At 39.8% G+C, this 23,184-nt stretch overlaps 2 protein-coding genes across 18 annotated transcripts in view; one reads left to right on the forward strand and one right to left on the reverse strand.

Moving 5' to 3' along the window:
• Positions 1 to 23,184, forward strand: part of MFSD6 (major facilitator superfamily domain containing 6) — a 94,739-nt gene that overhangs the window by 59,142 nt on the left and 12,413 nt on the right. For 10 of the 12 annotated variants that reach the window (NM_001375989.1, XM_047444824.1, XM_047444825.1 and 7 more), the window contains 3 exons: positions 3,041 to 3,138; positions 21,940 to 22,101; positions 23,051 to 23,149. In NM_001375989.1, the coding sequence (NP_001362918.1) occupies positions 3,041 to 3,138; positions 21,940 to 22,101; positions 23,051 to 23,149 (359 nt within the window). Of the gene's footprint in view, positions 1 to 2,775; positions 2,933 to 3,040; positions 3,139 to 21,939; positions 22,102 to 23,050; positions 23,150 to 23,184 lie in introns of those variants that run through there. The other 2 variants (NM_001375994.1, NM_001375993.1) reach the window with 1 other exon arrangement.
• NEMP2 (nuclear envelope integral membrane protein 2) overlaps positions 1 to 23,184 on the reverse strand; it is a 227,365-nt gene that overhangs the window by 45,297 nt on the left and 158,884 nt on the right. For 2 of the 6 annotated variants that reach the window (XM_017003099.1, XM_047441946.1), the window contains exon 9: positions 2,085 to 2,672. The exons of the other annotated variants lie outside the window; for them this stretch is intronic. In XM_017003099.1, coding sequence (XP_016858588.1) covers positions 2,663 to 2,672 — 10 coding nt within the window. In that variant the 3' untranslated portion in view covers positions 2,085 to 2,662. Of the gene's footprint in view, positions 1 to 2,084; positions 2,673 to 23,184 lie in introns of those variants that run through there. 6 annotated transcript variants of the gene reach the window in all.

Raw genomic sequence — 23,184 nt, forward strand, 5'->3', positions numbered from 1 at the left:
GACCTGGATACTTCTTATTTTGTGTTTTCTTTTTTAGGGTACCTGTTTGCTCCTAAAGGACTATCAATTGTGAAAGTAGAAATGTGGGAAAGAAGGGAAGGCTATATCAAATTCATAGCCACTCAGCTTGTTGATGGCAATCTGAGACCTAAGGGTCCCAGAAGTTGTGAACCGGTCACTCCAGTGACTGAATTCCATCTGGGAAGAGGTTTGAAGGCAAAGCACAATCTACCTCCTAAACTGGATCAATTGACACTGGGTTATTTTAAGCCAGGAGTTTTGGACTATGGCCTGGATTGAATTACAGTTGTCATGGCAACCCTGATTCAGAGGTGGGCTCAAAAGACAGCTTCAGGATAGACAATTTGTGAACACTAGGAAAGTGGATTACCAACATTGTTTTATGATGGGATTATATTACAGTATTACTGGGGACAGCTTGGAATGAGTTAGACCACTGGTTCTCCACCCTGGCTCAGTAAGAGAACAACCTGGGGAACTTTCAAAATGCCTGGGTTTCAACCATAGAGATCTTTATTGAGATAGGTGTGGGCCTCGGCATCTGTAGTTGTAAACAGTTACCATGGTAAATCTGATGTCCAGCCAAGGTTAAGAATTAAGGAGCTGGCTCATGCCTGTAATTCCAGCATTTTGGGAGGCCGAGGTGGGCGGACTACCTGAGGTCAGGAGTTTGAGACCAGCCTGGCCAACATGGCAAAACCTCGTCTCTACTAAAAATACAAAAATTAGCCAGGCATGGTGGCACATTCCTGTAATCCCAGCTAGTCAGGAGGCTGAGGCGGGAGAATTGCTTGAACCTGGGAGGCGGAGGTTTCAGTGAGCCGAGATCGTGCCACTGCTCTCTAGCCTCGGCAACAGAGCGAGACTCTGTCTCAAAAAAAGAAAAAGAATTAAGGAGCGAGGCCAGGTCAGTGGCAAGCTGTGGCTCACTGACCAAATCTGGCCTGCTGCCTGTTTTTATATGGCCCGTGAACTAAGAATAATAGTTTCTACATGTTTAAATGGTTGAAAAAAAACACAAGAAGAATAAGATTTTGTGACACATGAAAATTATTTTATGAAGTTTGCATTTCAGTGTTCATAATTCAGCTCTTGTTGGAACATGGCCATGCTCATTCATTTACATATTGCCTGTGGCTGCTTTCATGCTACAGCAGCAGAGCTGAGGAGCTGCAACAGAGACCATGTAGCTCGTGAAGCCTAAACTGTTTAATGTGTGGTCCTTTATAGAAAAGTGTTTGCTGACCCCTGAGTTAGGGTAAAGAGAGGCCACCCACAGGGCTGGCTTAGAATTTGTAAAAGGAGGCACAGGTTTGTTTAACTTGTGTGTTCATGTAGTATATTTTGCATTTTAATTTCCTGTGGCTTTTTTTTTCCCTAGCAGAGGGAAACTGATGAATCTGTAGCAAGTTTGTTCAATAAAAGTTTCATTAAGGCAGATTGAAACGTACTTTTCTCCTCCAAACACACAAGTACAAAGAACATAATGTCCATAGAACAAGATGACCCAGACTTTTTGTAATACTTCACTGAGAATCTGCTAAATCCCTCTAATATCTGTTGCCTATTTCATCCACACCCTTCAACTTTTTCTTTTTTGTCTTTTCTTCATCTTTCTTTTCCATATGTGAGATTAGTGATAGCTGGGTGTCTGAGAGCATTTCCCTTTGTTGATTCAGTGTTGGGAAAAAGGGAACAGTGTTTATAGGAATGAATTTTTTTTTTTTTTTTTGAGACAGGGTCTTGCTCTGTTTGCCAGGCTGGAGTGCAGTGGTGGGATTATGGCTCAGGGCAGCCTAGACCTCCCAGGCTCAAGCAGTCCTCCTACCTCAGCCTCCCAAGTAGCTGGGACTATAGGTGTGTGCCACCAAGCCTGGCTAATTTTTTTTTTTTTTTTTTTGGTAGAGACAGGTTCTCACTATGTTGCCCAGGCTGGTCTTGAACTCTTGGGCGCAAGTGATCCTCCTGCCTCAGCCTCCCAGGGTGCTCAGATTACAGGCATGAGTCAATACACTCAGTCAGGAATGATTTTAACATAAAAAGCAAGATTAGGAAAATACCACTGATTATCGTGTTGGTTTATTTCTTTTACCTTTTACTTTTCATCAAATTGGATTCAGAAAACAGAGCATTAAGGTTAGGAAAATTAACAGAAAATAGAAAACAAGGGAGAAAGATAAATCCCTACCATTAGGGTGTATTTTGTGCAGAGAAGTAGCCACTCTTTGCTTCCAAACCAGCCCATCCAGTTCAGAACGAGAGACTGAAACCTTATGCTTGGGTGCACCACTTCAGGCCTTTGCTTATTTTCTTTCTACTTATACTTTTGGCAGCGGTAATGGTGGGGGTGAGAGAATGCAAGAGGTTGGTGTATATTTATTAGTTTTGTAAACATATGATACCATGAATTTTTTAAAAGATGAACATGTATCCATTGAACTGATAGGAGAAACTATTTGATTTCCAAATAGTTTATAGTAGTTAGTGAATGATAGTTTTCAATGACCTTCAGAGTCTCCTTGTGAAACTGCTTGGTATCTTGGGTATTATGAGCAAGGCCACATTCGTGTTTACATATTCTCATTTTTATCCTTCCTTCCCCCATTGTAGTGAAGTGGTTACAATCCCAGGCATAGTTCTCCTACAGCCACCTGGAAGGAAGCCAGTAATGTCATTACTGATGGCAGTGCGCCCAGACTATCTTAAAAAAGCATCATCTCTGCTACAAATTAAGTTTCAGGAAGGGTGATGTTCACTTTTATATTAACAAGCATTTTGAAAAGGCTGAGGGCAGATATGTTAGAAGCCATCTTCTTATTCCTAAATTCATGCTTAAATGTAATTGTCCTTCAGTTTTCCCACTCCTGAGTTTGGAGTCTGCTGGATGATGGGTGGTTTGGGGAAGGAAAAGGTAGGTAATATTTGCATGTTTTGTACACATATTAGATTGTATATTAGGGACTCAGTTTATTTTCCTTTGCTTTTTTTTATTTTATTTTTATTTTTTATTTTTTTTTAGGGTTCTGTACATTGGCCTGGCCTGCAATACGGCTCGCTATATTTATATTTCCTACCTGGAGAATGCCTGGACTGTTCTCCCCATGGAAGTTCTTCAAGGTAAGTTAACAGCTGGGATTGAAATTATTTCTCTGCCTTCCCTGAGCTGTGGCTAAAAGCCCAGTGGCCTTCAGCATCTGATTCTATAAAGGAAGGGCAGGCCTACTGTTTCATGTGATTTTGAAGTGGTTGTTAAGGAAGAGATGACATCAGGAGGGATGGTTCCTTGGTTACCTGAGTGCTGCTTTGTGTTGAGCCAAACAAAGCTGGACTTGATCCACACCCTTGTGATTAAACAAAGGAAGAGGAACTCTAGAATAAACTCCTGTGCACAACTATTAGACATGGACATCCAAGGGTGGTTTTAAGATATAAAAATATTTATCTTTTAAAGTTTTTGGTGTTTTTAGTTTTGTAGGTTAACTATAGTTACTGAAAAAAAGATTGTTGTCATAATTATTTTATCTCTTCAGTTATTTTTATCACATCTGGTGACTTATAACTAAAGTTTTATAGCCACACCGTTGTTTTTCCATGAACTTTAAAAAATCTCTGCTCAAATGTCCTGCCCTGAGTTCTCTTTGCTTCAGTGTACTGTCTCCCATCAAGACACAACTGAAAAAGTTTCTAGAAGGCTCTTGTCATGTAGCTGAAGAGTGCTGAAAAAATGGATTACTATTCAAAGCTCATTGCCATGTTAGCTCATATAGTACTGACCACATCCTGAAAAGTCCTGATTGGCATCATGATTAAAATAAAGGTTCAGGACAAGATCGCTGGAGTTGAGTGACGGTCCAGGCTACTAAATCATTAATTGCACTAAACAGTCTGTGATTTGATTATATACGATTTCATTAGCTTTATAGATTGCCATTATCATTTTCCCTTACCCTAAGGAGACAAATGCGGTGTAATCAATGTGATTAATTGTCATGATGAAAGATTGAGAATTTCAGTCTTTTAAAATGAAAGATTCATAATTATACATCTAAACAGAATGTACAAAATGCCAGCTCATTCATCAAATTCATCATAGCAATGAAAAAAGAACTTATCCTAATTGAAAGGAGATATAATTTATATTCACATTATAATTATAAAATTCAAGTATATATATATATACTTTAAGATGCTTTTCTCAGATTTGATGCAATGGTGTAGCTAGTAAAAGGAGATTCTGTTTACAAATATATAGAAAATGGAAACTTGGTCTTTAATAATAAGAAATTATTGTTTCTAATAATTAGAACTCTGGAAGGGTCTTGAGGGGAGGCACACATCTCAGTTTTGTGTCATTTAAGAATAACAGGAGGGTGGAGCCAAGATGGCCGAATAGGAACAGCTCCAGTCTACAGGTCTCAGCGTAAGTGACACAGAAGACTACTGATTTCTGCATTTCCAACTGAGGTACCGGGTTCATCTCACTGGGGATTGTCAGGCAGTGGGTGCAGGATAGTGGGTGCAGCGCGGTGAGCGTGAGCTGAAGCAGGGCGAGGCATCACCTCACCCAGGAAGCACAAGGGGTCAGGGAATTCCCTTTCCTAGCCGAGGAAAGGGGTGAGAGATGGCACCTGGAAAATTGGGTCACTCCCACCCTAATACTGTGCTTTTCCAACAGTCTTAGCAAACGGCACACTAGGAGATTATATCCCGCACCTGGCTTGGAGGGTCCTACGCCCACGGAGCCTCCCTCATTGCTAGCACAGCAGTCTGAGATCAAACTGCAAGGCGGCAGTGAGGCTGGGGGAGGGGCACCCGCCATTGCTGAGGCTTGAGTAGGTAAACAAAGCAGCGGCTGGGAAGCTTGAACTGGGTGGAGCCCACCACAGCTCAAGGAGGCCTGCCTGCCTCAGTAAACTCCACCTCTGGGGGCAGAGCATAGCCAAACAAAAGGCAGCAGAAACCTCTGCAGACTTAAATGTCCCTGTCTGACAGCTTTGAAGACAGTAGTTCTCCCAGGACGCAGCTTGAGATCTGAGAACAGACAGACTGCCTCCTCAAGTGGGTCCCTGACCCGCAAGTAGCCTAACTGGGAGGCACCCCCCAGTAGGGGCAGACTGATAACTCATACGGCCGGGTACCCCTCTGAGACAAAACTTCCAGAGGAACGATCAGGCAGCAATATTTGCTGTTCACCAATATCCGCTGTTCTGCAGCTTTCACTGCTGATACCCAGGCAAACAGGGTCTGGAGTGGACCTCCAGCAAACTCCAACAGACCTGCAGCTGAGGCTCCTGACTGTTAGAAGGAAAACTAACAAACAGAAAGGATATCCACACCAAAACCCCATCTGTACGTCACCATCATCAAAGACCAAAGGTAGTTAAAACCACAAAGATGGGGAAAAAACAGAGCAGAAAAACTGAAAATTCTAAAAATCAGAGCACCTCTCCTCCTCCAAAGAAACGCAGCTCCTCACTAGCAATGGAACAAAGCTGGACAGAGAATGACTTTGATGAGTTGAGAGAAGGCTTCAGACGATCAAACTACTCCGAGCTAAAGGAAGAAGTTCAAACCCATGGCAAAGAAGTTAAAAACCTTGAAAAAAGATTAGATGAATGGCTAACTACAATAACCAATGCAGAGAAGTCCTTAAAGGACCTGATGGAGCTGAAAACCACGGCACGAGAAATAGGTGACAAATGCACAAGCCTTAGTAGCTGATTTGATCATCTGGAAGAAAGGGTATCAGTGATGGAAGATCAAATGAATGAAATGAAGTGAGAAAAGAAGTTTAGAGAAAAAAGAATAAAAAGAAACGAACAAAGCCTCCAAGAAATATGGGAGTATGTGAAAAGACCAAATCTACATCTGATTGGTGTACCTGAAAGTGACAGGGAGAATGGAACCAAGTTGGAAAACACTCTGCAGGATATTATCCAGGAGAACTTCCCCAATCTAGCAAGGCAGGCCAACATTCAAATTCAGGAAATATAGAGAAGCCACAAAGATACTCCTCGAGAAGAGCAACTCCAAGACACATAATTGTCAGATTCACCAAAGTTGAAATGAAGGAAAAAATGTTAAGGGCAGCCAGAGAGAAAGGTCGGGTTACCCACAAAGGGAAGCCCATCAGATTAACAGGTGATCTCTGGGCAGAAACTCTACAAGCCAGAAGAGAGTGGGGGCCAATATTCAACATTCTTAAAGGAAAGAATTTTCAACCCAGAATTTCATATCCAGCCAAACTAAGCTTTATAAGTGAAGGAGAAATAAAATACTTTACAGACAAGCAAATGCTGAGAGATTTTGTCACCACCAGACCTGCCCTAAAAGAGCTCCTGAAGGAAGCACTAAACATGGAAAGGAACAACCGGTACCAGCTACTGCAAAAACATGCCAAATTGTAAAGACCATCGAGGCTAGGAAGAAACTGCATCAACCAACAAGCAAAATCACCAGCTAACATCATAATGACAGGATCAAATTCACACATAACAATATTAACCTTAAATATAAATGGGCTAAATGCTCCAATTAAAAGACACAGACTGGCAAATTGGATAAAGAGTCAAAACCCATCAGTGTGCTGTATTCAGGAAACCCATCTCACGTGCAGAAACACACATAGGCTCAAAATAAAGGGATGGAGGAAGATCTACCAAGCAAATGGAAAACAAAAAAAGGCAGGGGTTGCAATCCTGGTCTCTGATAAAACAAACATCAGAAGAGACAAAGAAGGCCATTACATAATGGTAAAGGGATCAATTCAACAAGAAGAGCTAACTATCCTAAATATATATGCACCCAATACAGGAGCACCCAGATTCATAAAGCAAGTCCTTAGAGACCTACAAAGAGACTTAGACTCCCACACAATAATAATTGGAGACTTTAACACCCCACTGTCAACATTAGACAGATCAACGAGACAGAAAGTCAGTAAGGATATCCAGGAATTGAACTCAGCTTTCCTGAGTGGACCTAATAGACATCTACAGAACTCTCCACCCCAAATCAACAGAATATACATTCTTTTCAGCACCACACCTATTCCAAAATTGACCACATAGTTGGAAGTAAAGCACTCCTCAGCAAATGTAAAAGAACAGAAATTATAACAAACTGTCTCTCAGACCACAGTGCAATCAAACTAGAACTCAGGATTAAGAAACTCACTCAAAACTGCTCAAGTACATGGAAACTGAACAACCTACTCCTGAATGACTACTGGGTACATAAGGAAATGAAGGCAGAAATAAAGATGCTCTTTGAAACCAACGAGAACAAAGACACAATGTACCAGAATCTCTGGGACACAGTCAAAGCAGTGTGTAGAGGGAAATTTATAGCACTAAATGCCCACAAGAGAAAGCAGGAAAGATCCAAAATTGACGCCCTAACATCACAATTAAAAGAACTAGAGAAGCAAGAGCAAACACATTCAAAAGCTAGCAGAAGGCAAGAAATAACTAAGATCAGAGCAGAACTGAAGGAAATAGAGACACAAAAAACCCTTCAAAAAATCAATGAATCCAGGAGCTGGTTTTTTGAAAAGATCAACAAAATTGATAGACCGCTAGCAAGACTAATAAAGAAGAAAAGATTAAAGAATCAAATAGACGCAATAAAAAATGATAAAGGGGATATCACCACCGATCCCACAGAAATACAAACTACCATCAGAGAATACTATAAACACCTCTATGCAAATAAACTAGAAAATCTAGAAGAAATGGATAAATTCCTTGACACAAACAACCTCCCAAGACTAAACCAGGAAGAAGTTGAATCTCTGAATAGACCAATAAAAGGCTCTGAAATTGAGGCAATAATTAATAGCTTACCAACCAAAAAAAGTCCAGGACCAGATGGATTCACAGCTGAATTCGACCAGAGGTACAAGGAGGAGCTGGTACCATTCCTTCTGAAACTATTCCAATCAAGAGAAAAAGAGGGAATCCTCCCTAACTCATTTTATGAGGCCAGCATCATCCTGATACCAAAGCCTGGCACAGACACAACCAAAAAAGAGAATTTTAGACCAATATTCCTGATGAAGATAGATGCAAAAATCCTCAATAAAATACTGGCAAACCGAATCCAGCAGCACATCAAAAAGCTTATCCACCATGATCAAGTGGGCTTCATCCCTGGGATGCAAGGCTGGTTCAACATATGCAAATCAATAAATGTAATCCAGCATATAAACAGAACCAAAGACAAAAATCACATGATTATCTCAATAGATGCAGAAAAGCCTTTGCAAAATTCAACAACCCTTCATGCTAAAAACTCTCAATAAATTAGGTATTGATGGGACATATCTCAAAATAATAAGAGCTATCTATGACAAACCCACAGCCAATATCATACTGAATGGGCAAAAACTGGAAGCATTCCCTTTGAAAACTGACACAAGACAGGGATGCCCTCTCTCACCACTCCTATTCAACATAGTGTTGGAAGTTCTGGCCAGGGCAATCAGGCAGGAGAAGGAAATAAAGGGTATTCAATTAGGAAAAGAGGAAGTCAAATTATCCCTGTTTGCAGATGACATGATTGTATATCTAGAAAACCCCATCGTCTCAGCCCAAAATCTCCTTAAGCTGATAGGCAACTTCAGCAAAGTCTCAGGATACAAAATCAATGTGCAAAAATCACAAGCATTCTTATATACCAGTAACAGCCAAACACCCAAATCATGAGTGAACTCCCATTCACAATTGCTTCAAAGAGAATAAAATACCTAGGAATCCAACTTATAAGGGATATGAAGGACCTCTTCAAGGAGAACTACAAACCACTGCTCAATGAAATAAAAGAGGATACAAACAAATGGAAGAACATTCCATGCTCATGGATAGGAAGAATCAATATCGTGAAAATGGCCATACTGCCCAAGGTAATTTATAGATTCAATGCCATCCCCATGAAGCTACCAATGACTTTCTTCACAGAATTGGAAAAAACTACTTTAAAGTTCATACGGAACCAAAAAAGAGCCCGCATTGCCAAGTGAATCCTAAGCCAAAAGAACAAAGCTGGAGGCATCACACTACCTGACTTCAAACTATACTACAAGCCTACAGTAACCAAAACAGCATGGTACTGGTACCAAAACAGAGATATAGACCAATGGAACAGAACAGAGCCCTCAGAAATAATGCCACATATCTACAACTATCTGATCTTTGACAAACCTGACAAAAACAAGAAATAGGGAAAGGATTCCCTATTTAATAAATGGTGCTGAGAAAACTGGCTAGCCATATATAGAAAGCTGAAACTGGATCCCTTCCTTACACCTTATACAGAAATTAATTCAAGATGGATTAAAGACTTAAATGTTAGACCTAAAACCATAAAAACCCTAGAAGAAAACCTAGGCAATACCATTCAGGACATAGGCATGGGCAAGGACTTCATGTCTAAAACACCAAAAGCAATGGCAACAAAAGCCAAAATTGACAAATGGGATCTAATTAAAGAGCTTCTGCACAGCAAAAGAAACTACCATCAGAGTGAACAGGCAACCTACAGAATGGGAGAAAATTTTTGCAATCTACTCATCTGACAAAGGGCTAATATCCAGAATCTACAAAGAACTCAAACAAATTTATAAGAAAAAAACAACCCCATCAACAAGTGGGCAAAGGATATGAACAGACTCTTCTCAAAAGAAGACATTTATGCAGCCAACAGACACATGAAAAAATGCTCATCATCACTGGCCATCAGAGAAATGCAAATCAAAACCACAATGAGATACCATCTCATACCAATTAGAATGGCAATCATTAAAAAGTCAGGGAACAACAGGTGCTGGAGAGGATGTGGAGAAATAGGAACACTTTTACACTGTTGGTGGGACTGTAAACTAATTCAACCATTGTGGAAGTCAGTGTGGCGATTCCTCAGGGATCTAGAACTAGAAATACCATTTGATCCAGCAATCTCATTACTGGGTATATACCCAAAGGATTATAAATCATGCTGCTATAAAGACACATGCACACATATGTTTATTGCAGCACTATTCACAATAGCAAAGACTTGGAACCAACCCATATGTCCAACAGTGATAGACTGGATTAAGAAAATGTGGCACATATACACCATGGAGTACTATGCAGCCATAAAAAATGATGAGTTCATGTCCTTTGTAGGGACATGGATGAAGCTGGAAACCATCATTCTCAGCAAACTATTGTAAGGACAAAAAACCAAACACCGCATGTTCTCACTCATAGGTGGGAATTGAACAATGTGAACACATGGACACAGGAAGGGGAACATCACACACTGGGGACTCTTGTGGGGTGGGGGGAGGGGGGAGGGATAGCATTAGGAGATATACCTAATGTTAAATGACGAGTTAATGGGTGCAGCACACCAATATGGCACATGTATACATATGTAACAAACCTGCACGTTGTGCACATGTACCCTAAAACTTAAAGTATAATAATAATAATAACAATGCATTAAACAGGAACTGCAGGTAAGAATGATTCAATAACAAGGTAATATGCAACACAGTTCTTAGGATTTCCCACCTCTGGTTCCTGTTCTATCCTGACCTGGCTTAATTGCTTTATTTATTGGTATGCTACAGTGTGCAGACTCTATAAATAAAGATTTGTATACCTACAGAAAAGAAATGACTATATATTATAATAATACATGCATATAACTTTTTTATCCTTTTAGTTTAAAATGAGTTAGGTGGAAAAGGACGGTTTCCATAAGTGACCCAAGAAAAGAGAACATCCATGAAACGGTTAAAGAACAACAGAATAATTTTATAAGAGGAAAAAACAAATGCTGTGTGAATTTAAAAATGCATTTTCCTGTTAATTTATTAAAGATATATTAAATGGTGACTAAGAGCCAGGCAGCATGCTGGGTGCTGAGAATGTAATAAAATATATACATATATTAACTCAGGCCACAAGGTCTCACCAACTGTTCTGGAAGCCAGATGTGTAAACACATAATAACTATACAGCATGTTAGATGGAATCATAGAAAAATGTGCTAGGTAGCAGATAAGGAGCTTACCCTAAGGAGAATAATTAACTTTGTGAAGCAGGGAGTGGGAGGATGAAGACTGTATTGAAAAATTCCCTACAAAAATCACATAAGCTAGATTCTGAAGGGCGAATAGGAATCTACCAGGTGGTCTAAAGAGAGTAGGCATTCCAGCATGGGGGAAGAGCTGTGTGCGAAGGCACAGAAGAGAACAGAATGGCCTCTTCAGGGAGCATAAGTGGTGTGCCGGGGCTAGGGCTTGAAGCATTTATCATCTCAAGCTGCCAACCCAGGACATGTTTTTATAATACTTGTATGCACCTCAGGGATATTATCCCAGGATTTAGGGAGCTGGCCATGTTCTGAATCTAAACAGGAATTCTGCTTCCTAGGGCAGGCTACGATACATACTTCTGTGTTTCATTTTATTCTCCCTTATGCCAGTAGAAACCTAGCTACTGGTCTGAAGCCAGGGAAGAGGATCTGTAAATACAGCCTCCTAGTGCAACAGAGGGCTCTGTGGCCAGTTTCCACAGAGCTCTTTGTTTCTAATGCTGGAGGAGATGGTTTCATTCCCTGGCAGAAGTGAGTGCTGAGTATTTTGACTGCACAACAAAATCAAAATCCCTTGCCTTTGTTTGACCCATGCCCACCCCATGGAAAACAGTAGATTATTCATGTGGAATAAAATCCTGCATCACAGAAATACATTTCTGACTGAAGAGGTTTGTTTTGCTAGTTTGGATTCGTCTGCCTTTACAAGGCTCGTCCAAATGGCTTTAAAGTCCGTGTGCTTAAAGGAGACTCTATTTAGGATGCAGTAAGGCAGGACATGATTAAAACAAATCACTGAATGATTTCATTGGAGGACAAGCCCACTCTCACAATATATAGCCCTTAATTCCTTGACTGGAAATGTTACTTGTTGATTGCCAAAGACCTAGTCTGGGGAAGGGGAAGGCTGGGGAATGGGATGTTGTCTTTCATCATTGGGCATCTTGACTCTGAAAAATCAGCACTTCCGTTTTTTGGTTCCTAGCCAGAACCATACAAGAGGGTCTTCCTTAAAAAAAAAATAAGCAAAGTCTGTCTCTTTATCCTACCACCCTTGCTTTATCCCCAAAACACCACGAGAACTAGTACTGTCTAGTACTATCTAGAGGGTAGCTGAAAGGGAGGAGACAAAAGATGTGCCTCATTCTATAGCCCCCGCTACCCAGCCCTTCCTCTTTGGGGTTGCATGTAACTGCTGGTGGAGGATTCCTTGTTATCTTCAGTCTTGCAGTTTCTTGATTGTCCTCTCAGGCCATGTTCATAATAATTAGCAGATGGGTTTGTGAAGAAACAAATTTCCTCTTCCCCAGGCCTATAGGAAGGAGGCTATTCAAGCCTTTATTGGGGGATCAAGGTAAGACTACTGGATGCTGTTTGGAATTGTGAGGTTATTTCTTTCCCATGATCTTTCTCATGTTCAGTAAGTATTCTCTTGCAGCTATATCTTTTTAGCAATTCAGCTACCATTTGCAGCAAACATGTTATTCAGTAGGCAACTGGTAATACCATATAAAGAAGCAGAAAACATATTTCCTACCTATAAGAAATCTGCAGTGTATTTAAAAAAGAGACAGGGAGTCTACGTGCCTAAAAGCATTGCTGGATGGTGGTGGTGGTGAATAGTTTATATTTATTTCTCAAGACCTCATTTTAAAAACCCATAGGAATTTTCTCCTTTTGTTTTGTACAAAGAACAATTAAACATTCATGATTTTGATCAAGAATATAAATATTTGATTAAAATAAAGCCCAAACTTGTTATTCTCCTTCCTCTGTGGGTGTTGGTTGCAAATCCTTGCAAAACTCAGAGATGAGTGTTAGTGTTAGTTCTGAGCAAGAATCAGAATTATCCTTGCTATTAAAATGTATCTGATGAGAGTAAAACTCACCTAGGGGCTGCTATAACTAAAGAGGTACTTTTGAGTTACTTGAATTAATGACTCCAGCACTGAGGAGTGAAAACGAGGTCTGGGTCAGCTCTCTCTCTGTAGGATGCTCTATCAGTGGGAGCCGGGTTAAGATTTTGATGAAAGATGTTTTTTTTAATGTCATCAGTTAGGGGGACTTGAGCTGACATTTATAAAGCGTTATTCTGTTTGTCTTATTTAGCATGCTTATTCAGCCAAGTAAGAAACATGTTTTCAGCCTGGGCAACCTAGGGAGACCCTGTCTCTACAAAATATTTAAAAATCAGCTAGGCATGGTGGCATGCGCCTGTGGTCCCAGCTACTGGGGAGGCTCAGGTGGAAGGATTGCTTGACCCCAAAAGGTTGAAGCTGCAGTGACCTGTGATTGCAGCACTGCATTCCAGCCTGGGTGACACAGTGAGACCCTGTCTCAAAACAACAACAAACAAACAAAGCACATTTTCCTCCTCTTATGCTCTGCAAGAGCATGGGGAAGAAATACTAGTTTTATTGTCTAACTTAGTTTAAACCCTTGAACATAAAGGCCATGCTTATACTTTTTCAGTTCTCCAAAGAGATGTACATATAGGAAGATACACTATTAATGCTTGTTGTTTAATTCATTTTTCAGCCCCCTGTATCATGTACTATAGTTAGTAGTTTATAATTTTTATATCTTTTGAATGATATAAGAAATTCTATCTCAAAAACTTATTAAGTATCTGAAGAAAATTTGAAAATTAAATTTAAAGCTGAACCTTCATTATGAAAGCTCTTCCTAGGATGACATCTTGCCATCCATAACACATCTGTAAAATCACCCATGTATTTTAATTAGTACTTATACCCTCACCTCACTCTATAAGTTAGCTGAGGCAGATTACCAAAATATGCAATAATCCGGAAACCATAAAGTGCTAAGGCTTGAATTAGACTATCTGGGTTTGAATTCTAACTCCCCTACCTATAAGCTCTGTGTCTTTGGACAAAATGCTTAATCTCTCTAAGCCACAGACTCTTGAGTTATAGGAGAGGTTGACATGAGTATTAAATACACTAATCCATGCAAAGTATTTAGCACAGTACCTGACCCACAGTTAGCTTCTAATAAATGTTAGAAAACATACAATACAAAAAAGTAAAATAAATTATAAATAAATATAAATCAGGATCAGAGAAAATATAATTTAAAAGATCCTATTCTAAGGAGTTAAACTTCAATTATGCATTAAAGCCTGGCTATGAATTAAGCTGAAGCCTAATGACCAAAGCGTAAGGGAAATGTGGCTAGTCAGTGCACACTATTAATAAAGTTATCTTTGAGGAAGATAAGTGAAATCTTTATTGGCTGATAGAAAAGCAGTTCTCATGTGTGGCTTCAGGTGGGAAAACACTGGGCGTGTAGTATAATGTTGCCAAGTCTTAACATTAAACTCCCTGGGTTTTGGGTGGTAGTCTCCTAAAACCTGCTTAAAGGTATGCCAAAGGCATAATGCCAGCATGTAAAAATTCACGAGGGCCCCCTAGAACATTGTTACATCAGTTATAGACTTTTTTTAAGCAACTCATATATTTTTTTAAGTTTGCAAGCTAGAGCTTATAGAAGAGATCTACTATTTTATTTCCTCTGTCCACTTTTACTTATATATGGGATTTGGAAGTTTTCTCCAACCTTACCCAGGGTACCTTTTATCCATAAATGCTTTCTTCGTCATATCCCAACATGTAGACCACTGCCTACCCTGTTTCAGTTCAATGTCCTTTTGTTCAGCTGCTGTTACATGTCAGCCCTCTGCTGGGTGCTGGATATGTCTGTTCTCAAGGAGCTCAGTCTGCGTCCCCTTTAGATAAATCCTGCCCCCTTTCACCTGCCAGACTGTAAGCTCCTTGGTGGCTGGGGACATTATTTTGCATATTGTCATATTTTCAAAGCCTAGCAGGCTATCTGGCACATAATATAGATGCTGAGTAAATACTGTTGAATGCATGAAGGGGATTCTTGCAGTCCTATACATCAATAGGTGTGGGAATGTTGGCTTTTAACACAAATTGTTGCATGTCTTATATAAACTTTCTTTCGTGCAGCACACAGAAGATCCATGCTGCTGCTGCTGCTAAGTCCATTGCTCTTTGTAGGATCCTCCGCCATTTGTGGAAGGTGTATTGCTGTTAGTAGCCCCAACTCTGACAGAGAGACTGGCTTGCTACTCACCATCTCTGTTTCCTTTTCTTCGTGGACATGCAGCTAGATTCTATTTCCCAGCCTCCCTTGCAGTTAGGTATGACCATGTGGTTAATTCTGGCCAGCGGAATAAAAGCAGAAATGATAGGAGGAAAGGATAGCACGTGGGAAATTGTATGGGTCAGGTGCAGAGGTGTGTCACTCCCTTCTCTGTCAGCTGGATATTGATACCTAGGGTAACCAGGCATTGCAGATGGCAGATTCTCTGTAACCTGGATCCCTGAATGACTATGGAGCAGAGCTGCTACTACTCCTGTCTCCTGTTCATTGGACTTTGTGTGAGCAAGAAAAGAAAACATTTAATGTGTGAAACCACTAAGATTTCCAATATAGACTTTTTCTTTTATTGCCTGCCCAATGGAGGCCTTTCCTTAGGAAGAATAGTCTCTTACTGATTTTCACCAAGTTGACCTTTCGGAAGCTTTCCTTTTTTTTTTTTTTTAATCCCAGAACTAATTGAAATGTATGCTTTGGTCTATTCATGGGAAAGGTTTGTCACAGCTGATTCTGTGTGCCAATGCTAAAGGGATAGTTATGTTTTGTTCAGTAAGCTTAAGTCAGTGGCAGAAGGAAGAAAAACAAAACAATCCTAGTTCCCTAGTACTGTGTCAGTTCTCACTCCTCCCAGCCATTATAATGTGATTTCCCCAAGCCAAGCAACAGTTTACAAAGAGCAGCTGTCTCCTTAAGAAGAAAGGACTTTTTTTCCTGCTCATACATGCCATTTATTTCAGTAGAGCATTCTTGTGGGCCAAGACTGAACAATTTTGAAATGCATGTTGTACAATCAGATACCAGTGTTGAGTGTTATAAGGTATTTGGGGCATTTAAAAAACAATATAGATGACATGTCAGCTCTTCAGAAAGGGTGGAGAAGAGTTATTAAGACTATCATCTTTTTTTTTTTTTTTTTTTTTTTTTTTTTTTTTTTAGACGGAGTCTCACTCTGTCGCCCAGGCCGGACTGCGGACTGCAGTGGCGCAATCTCGGCTCACTGCAAGCTCTGCTTCCCGGGTTCACGCCATTCTCCTGCCTCAGCCTCCCGAGTAGCTGGGACTACAGGCGCCTGCCACCGCGCCCGGCTAATTTTTTTGTATTTTTAGTAGAGACGGGGTTTCACCTTGTTAGCCAGGATGGTCTCGATCTCCTGACCTCGTGATCCACCCGCCTCGGCCTCCCAAAGTGCTGGGATTACAGGCGTGAGCCACCGCGCCCGGCCGACTATCATCTTTTAAACTGGTAGCTTGTGGGGTATGTTTGATATTAACAACAAAATCTCTCAAAGTAGATAGTTACATTTACTATAGAATACTTCTAACAATTGTTATGAGAACATATAGTGTAATATTTAAGCACCTAAGCTCTGAACTTGGACACCTTGGGTTCAAATCCTATTCAACAACTCTCTTCTCTGTGTGACTCTGGACAAGGCATCTAATATCTCTGTGCCTTGGTTTCCTTTTTGGAAAATGAAGAAAAAATAGTACTGTACCTATTGGAGGAATAGATTCAATAATCTGTGTAAAACACTTAGCACAATTCCTTGTAGAGTAAGCTGATGTGATAATATTAATGAAAACAGGGTTGGGCGCAGTGGCTCACGCCCGTAATCCCAGCACTTTGAGAGGCCGAGGCAGGCAGATCACGAGGTCAAGAGATCAAGACCATCCTGGCCAACATGGTGAAACCCTGTCTCTACTAAGGGTACGAAAATTAGCTGGGCGTGGTGGCACACACCTGTAGTCCCAGCTACTCGGAAGGCTGAGGCAGGAGAATTGCTTGAACCCAGGAGGCAGAGGATGCGGTGAGCCGAGATCACGCCATTGCACTCCAGCCTGGGCAACAAGAGTGAAACTCATTTTCAAAAAAAAAAAAAAAAAAAAAGTTAACGAAAACAATTAATGTTACTCATAATTATTTTTAATGATTCTAGGTTATTCAAATGTAATGGATCCCAAGTAAAGTCTTGGCAGTAGGTAGTGTGGATATATCTCTTGATTTTTACTGTGCCTCAAAGCCAATCCTGGGGGATCCCAGTAAAGGTAAGGAAGGACTGAGAAACTAAGTTTATGTGGACTACTTGGTCTCTGAGAGTCATTCATTCTCAATCAATATATTTAAGCACCTGTTATGTGAGTTGGTATTGAATTGTCACTGAAGGCTCAGTGGTTTTATGACAAGCAGCCATGGAAGAGTTAACACATTGCAAGGAGAGTCAGTTCCTGTGCCCTTGTTACTGTTGTCAGTCAGGGAGTAATAGCTTGTATTTTGACTGTTTGATCTACCAACTTTGTTATCTCATACTTAAAAAGGTTTAAAAATTTGTAATTCTAGTGTAAACACATTTACCCATGCCACTGAGTAAATGTGCTTATTTCATCACATAAAGAATAATCATCTACTGCTTTTTCACAGTTCTCTAATAACTAAGAAAGTAGAAGCATTTTCTTTTTCTAGTTTATAATATCTTTTGTCCCCTCTACTTTACAGGAATGTCGTTTTCGGTAGCACAATTCCTAAGACTTCCTAAATCTTGTCTTACAAATATGGGAAATGGCGGAGGGTTTTCAAGTTTCTAGGTTGCTTTTTTTGTTATTTTAAAACGAGAGAATCAGAACACAAATGTAGTAAAAACATTGGCAAGAGCTTCAGATTATTAAGATTACTAGAAAGTTGCATGTTCCAGTTTATGAACGAGAACTGCAGCTCCACCACTGTCTTTTGTATACACAGATGATGTTCTAATTTAATCCCTTCTTACGGATTGCTACATTTTGCTGGTTTCCTATCTAAGAAATGAGATGAATTTAATTGCTTCTTCACTTATACGATATCTTAAAATAAGTTATTTTAGGGAAATCAATTTTAATCCTGTATCTGCCCTGGAAAACATCAGAGCATACAAGCAGAGTGGCTTTCATTCTTCTGCTTTTAGTATCAGAAATTTTGTTTTTGTGCTTTACTATTTTTTCCTTCACTTAATTCCCTGAGTTAATTTAAAGAATGTAATTCCCAATTATCTAATCAGTCTCAAAAGCAATATAGAAACTAGAAGTCTAACTGTGGAGAATCTTTTACAACTACCACTTAATACTAGTCAGTAAATTCTAAGAATAGTTTAAAAGCATCCTGACTTAAGTCATCCCACTGGAAAATGCTTTAATTATCTTAGAACACTCAAAGTTTTAGAAAATGATTAGAATTTCTGAGAGGGGGAAAATAGATACAAACCCTGTGGTTGGAAGAGTTTGTGTGTGTCCAAGCCTTCACACTTAAAAGAATAACTGCTAGAATTGTTTTTTATCTAGAATTATAATAAATATATTTTAATGTTTTGGTTGCTTGTAAATCCTGCAATTGATTGCTTAGACATACACATAACAAGAGGTTTGGCGTCAGCATTAAAGTTAACCTACTACCATTTGATGTGTTTTCAGGTTTTCGGTAATTCATCTTTAAGAAATGATTTCCAAATCTGTGTTGGATTTTGCTATTGAATCTAATTAATTTTGAATAAATTAATTTATTTCTTGGAATATTTTTGAGTTTTTCCCCCAGTGTGGTTAATGAAAAAAAATCTGCATATGTGAAAAGAAATGGACTTAGCATCATCTTTAATAATAGAAATGAAAATACTTACAATTATTCCCATTAGGTACTATGGTGTCAACACTCATAATTAAGACTATCCAGGCATTATTCAATTCTGAGAAAGCTGGCATTATCTAGGGTATTGCAATTGTTTTGCCAGATAAAGCAAACACGTTATTTGACTTCTTAGGAAATTAACTGTGTATGCTACTGCTAATCATCTAGTCCATCTTACTAGTTAAAAAAAAAAAAAACCTAGTTAAAATGATGACTGAAACATATATAAAACCTAAGAAAGTTATTTTAATGTTTCTTAGTCAACTGTGAGGCATACAATCTAATGTACCCAGTAAAAACAGTGTTTATTCCATTATGGACTGACTTAAGTAATATCATCCCTGATAATTTTTTTATTATGCCAGATATTGTGAATGGTACCTGGTTGGGTGCTGGCTATTTCTGTCTTCCTATAAATATTCTTGAGCTTTGTTCTGGGTCACAGCTAAGTTACTTGGAAATAGTGTGATCCTTTGGGTCTTGCTTTTAAGATTATGTAGATGAGACCAGAGCAGTGTTTAGCCTACGGCTAATTATTTCATAATACTAACAAAAGACCTTGTTGAGTACTCTACCAATCCTAGGAATCATGAGTTGTTCCAGTTTGGCTGGTGGGAAGAAGTGTTCCCCGCCTTGTGTGGGTTCTGGGTATTGTTCTCTGAAATGGTTTTGGGTAGTTCATTCCCTCACTCTGAATAGTGTCTGCACATGTTTTGCTGATCAGTACTCTGCTGAATACGTTAGGGGAGCCCTCTATAGATCTCTGGAGTTTTCTCCCTATGATGCTATCTCCTCTCTGGCATTCTGCCCTGGAACTCTAGCCACCTTGGCTCCCTAGACTCTTGGCTAGAGTCTTCAACTTGGCAGTTCTCTTTTTTTGCCCTGCAGATTTCAGACTCTCATCAGTCAGTAAACTAAAGCTTTTCATTTGCTTCCCATCTCTCAGGGATCACTGTCCTTGTTGCTGATGTCCCTCAGGAACCACTGTCTCATATGTTTTGTCCGGTTTTTTAGTTACTTGAGGAAGGAGAATAAATTTAGTCCCTGTTATTCCATTCTGGCAGAGGCAGACTACTGTCAGATCAAATTTTAAAAGAATTTTGATCTTTTAGTTTAATTTTCCAAAATACGAGTTAAGAGTCTCTGATGATATTATCTCCAAATGAGACTATTTCTCAGGGGATGGAACCAGATGATTTCTTAATCTCGTCTAGCTATAAAACCTGTTGTGACAATATCTGGTTTTTACATTTAAAGCAGTGTCTTAATGAAGGTTTTAATTCAGACAATGCAGTTACTACATAATAAGATAATGACCATTTTTCCACCTGTTATCTCTGTCTTCCTCTCATTCCCATAAATGGTGAAGATATAAAACTGGTAATGGGACATGGTAAATTGTTTCTGCACTCATTTTTTTAACTGAACTATATATTAAGAAGCATGGCTGGGTGCAGTGGCTCACTAATCCCAGCACTTTGAGAGGCTGAGGCAGGTGGATCACGAGGTCAAGAGATCAAGACCATCCTGGCCAACGTGGTGAAACCCTGTCTCTACTAAAAATACAAAAATTAGCTGGGGGTGGTGGCGGGCACTTGTAGTCCCAGCTACTTGGGAGGCTGAAGCAGGAGGATCGCTTGAACCCAGGAAGCAGAGGTTGCAGTGAGCTGAGGTCGTGCCACTGCACTCCAGCCTGGTGACAGAGCAATACTCCATCTCAAACAAAACAAAACAAAACATAAAAATTGTTATATCCTTTGAATCATTAACCCCACTTGTGGAATTATAGCCAATGTAAATAATCTAAGGTATGTAAAAAGCAATGTTAACCATGATGCTAATTATAATGGGGAAAAGTAGAAATAATCTTAATGTCAAAGTAGGTGCCCTAGAATGGATGAATGTCCAGAATATATAAAGAGCTCCTACAACTCAATAACAAAAACCAACCCAATTAAAAAATGGGCAAAGGAATTGAATAAACATTTCTTCAAAGAAGATATAGATGGCCAATAAACACCTAAAAGGTGCTCGACATCACTAGCTATTAGGGGAAAGCAAATCAACAACATGAGAAACTGCTTCACATTCATTATGATTGCTATTTTAAAAAGATATATATAAGTTCTGGCAAGGAGGTGGAGAAATTGGATCTCTCATACAGTTCAGGTGGGAATGTAAAATGGTACAGCTACTTTGGAAAAAAGGTAGTTCCTCAAAGTGTTAAACATATAGTGACCATATCATCCAACAATTGCATTTCTAGTTACCTAGTCAAAATAATTTTTTTTTCTTTTTTGAGACAGAATCTTGCTCTGTTGCCAGGCTGGGGAGTGCAGTGGCGTGATCTTGGCTCACTGCAACCTCTGCCTCCTGGGTTCAAACGATTCCACTGCCTCAGCCTCCCGAGTAGCTGGGACTATAGGCGTGCACCACCACGCCAGGCTAATTTTTTGTATTTTAGTAGAGACAGGGTTTCACCATGTTGGCCAGGATGGTCTCAATCTCCTGACCTCGTGATCCACCCGCCTCGGCCTCCCAAAGTGCTGGGATTACAGGCGTGAGCCACTGCGCCCAGCCACTCAAAAGAATTTAAATCAAAGACTCAGATACTTGCATACCAGGTTGATAGCAGCATTAATCAAAGTAGCAGAAGGAAACAACAAATGTCTATTCACAGATGAAAAGATGAACAAAATGAATGGGAGTCACATTCAAGAGACAGGAAGTAGAATGGTGGTTGTCAGGGGATGGGACAAGGGGTGAGTGTAAGTTATGGTTTAAGGGGTACAGAATTTTTGTTGTGGTGGTGAAAAAGTTCTGGAGATGGATGGTGGTGACAGCTGCACAACACTGTGAGTGTACTCAGTGCCACTGAACCGTACATTTAAAAATGTGAAAATGGTAAATTTTTAATGTATGTTTTCCCACAACAAATCTTAAAAATAGGTGCCTAGTTAAATAATTCACATTTCAAAACAGAGTAGCCTAAGAAATGCTAACCAACTAATCCCTCCTGCTCTTCTTCCTCTCCAGGAGTGACACACGCGGCCATCTGGGCAGCATGCATTTCTTACCTCAGTGCAGCCGTTCCCCCTGAGCTGAGGACATCTGCTCAGGGCATCCTGCAGGGCCTTCACCTGGGTTTGGGAAGAGGATGTGGTGCCATGATCGGAGGCGTGTTAGTCAATTATTTTGGTAAGAATGGCTTTCTCCTTTTTTTTCTTTTCTATTATTAAAACATGATTTTTTCCAGCAATACCTCAATAAACAATCCAATTATTACTGAAGATTGCCCAAAGCTAAATTCCAGTATTCATAATCTCTTTCTAGATTTCATGGTAGTCATAATTGTAAAGCAGTGTGCTTACGTTGTTAAGCTGATCTGAGCCAGCCTGTAACTGTGCACACTCCTCTGACAATCAGCTTAATGAGATGCTACAGAGATCCCTCAAAGGAGCCAAACAAATGAATTAGCATGAGTGCTTTTGGTCTAAAATAAGGTACCTTAAACCTGCTGATAATAACCCTAAAGGAAATAAAATTCATCATTGTTATTCCATTAGGAGATTTTGAACCAGAAGAATCTAACCATATGCTGGCTTTGGTAATGCTACTACATTTATGGTAACAATATCTGTCTGTCTTGTCATATCTTCCTTATTAGAAACATAGGAGCTGAAATAGGAATGAGATTATTCTGCTCCAGGAATCTTAACTACTCAGTCATCTATTAATATATAAGGTGGGCCCCAGGAAATGCGTGCATTTATAGCACTATTTGAGCACTGCTGTTCCAACTACAGATTAATAGTGCTGTTAGTTAATAATTGGGTAAATGGTCTTTTCATATGAAGAGGAGAGCACCATTGAATTGTATGAGTCATGGTGAAAGGCACTGAGAGATAATCCTATATAAATGCAGTTTTATAATCGATCAATGACAGATCCAATATCAGCCCTGGGTCTCTTGACACGTACCCAGCCCTGTGTTTTTCCATTATGTGGAGCTAATACCCAACTACTTTTCTCTGGTTTGTCTCAAGCTGTGCTTCCTTTGCTTTGATCTTTAGAAAACTGATGGTTTTAGATGAGCGCTATCTGCATTTCTTGGAATTACTCTATAGAGTGCTGTTTGTTTTTATAGGGGCTGCTGCAACCTTCCGAGGAATTGGCATGGCCTGCTTGGTGATCCTACTGCTCTTTGCCCTGATCCAGTGGCTGGCAGTGCCAGATGAGGAAGAAGGTAATTATTTCCATTCTTTCTTAATATTCCTAACA

Source organism: Homo sapiens, chromosome 2, assembly GCF_000001405.40.
Source record: "Homo sapiens chromosome 2, GRCh38.p14 Primary Assembly".
Taxonomy (NCBI): domain Eukaryota; kingdom Metazoa; phylum Chordata; class Mammalia; order Primates; family Hominidae; genus Homo; species Homo sapiens.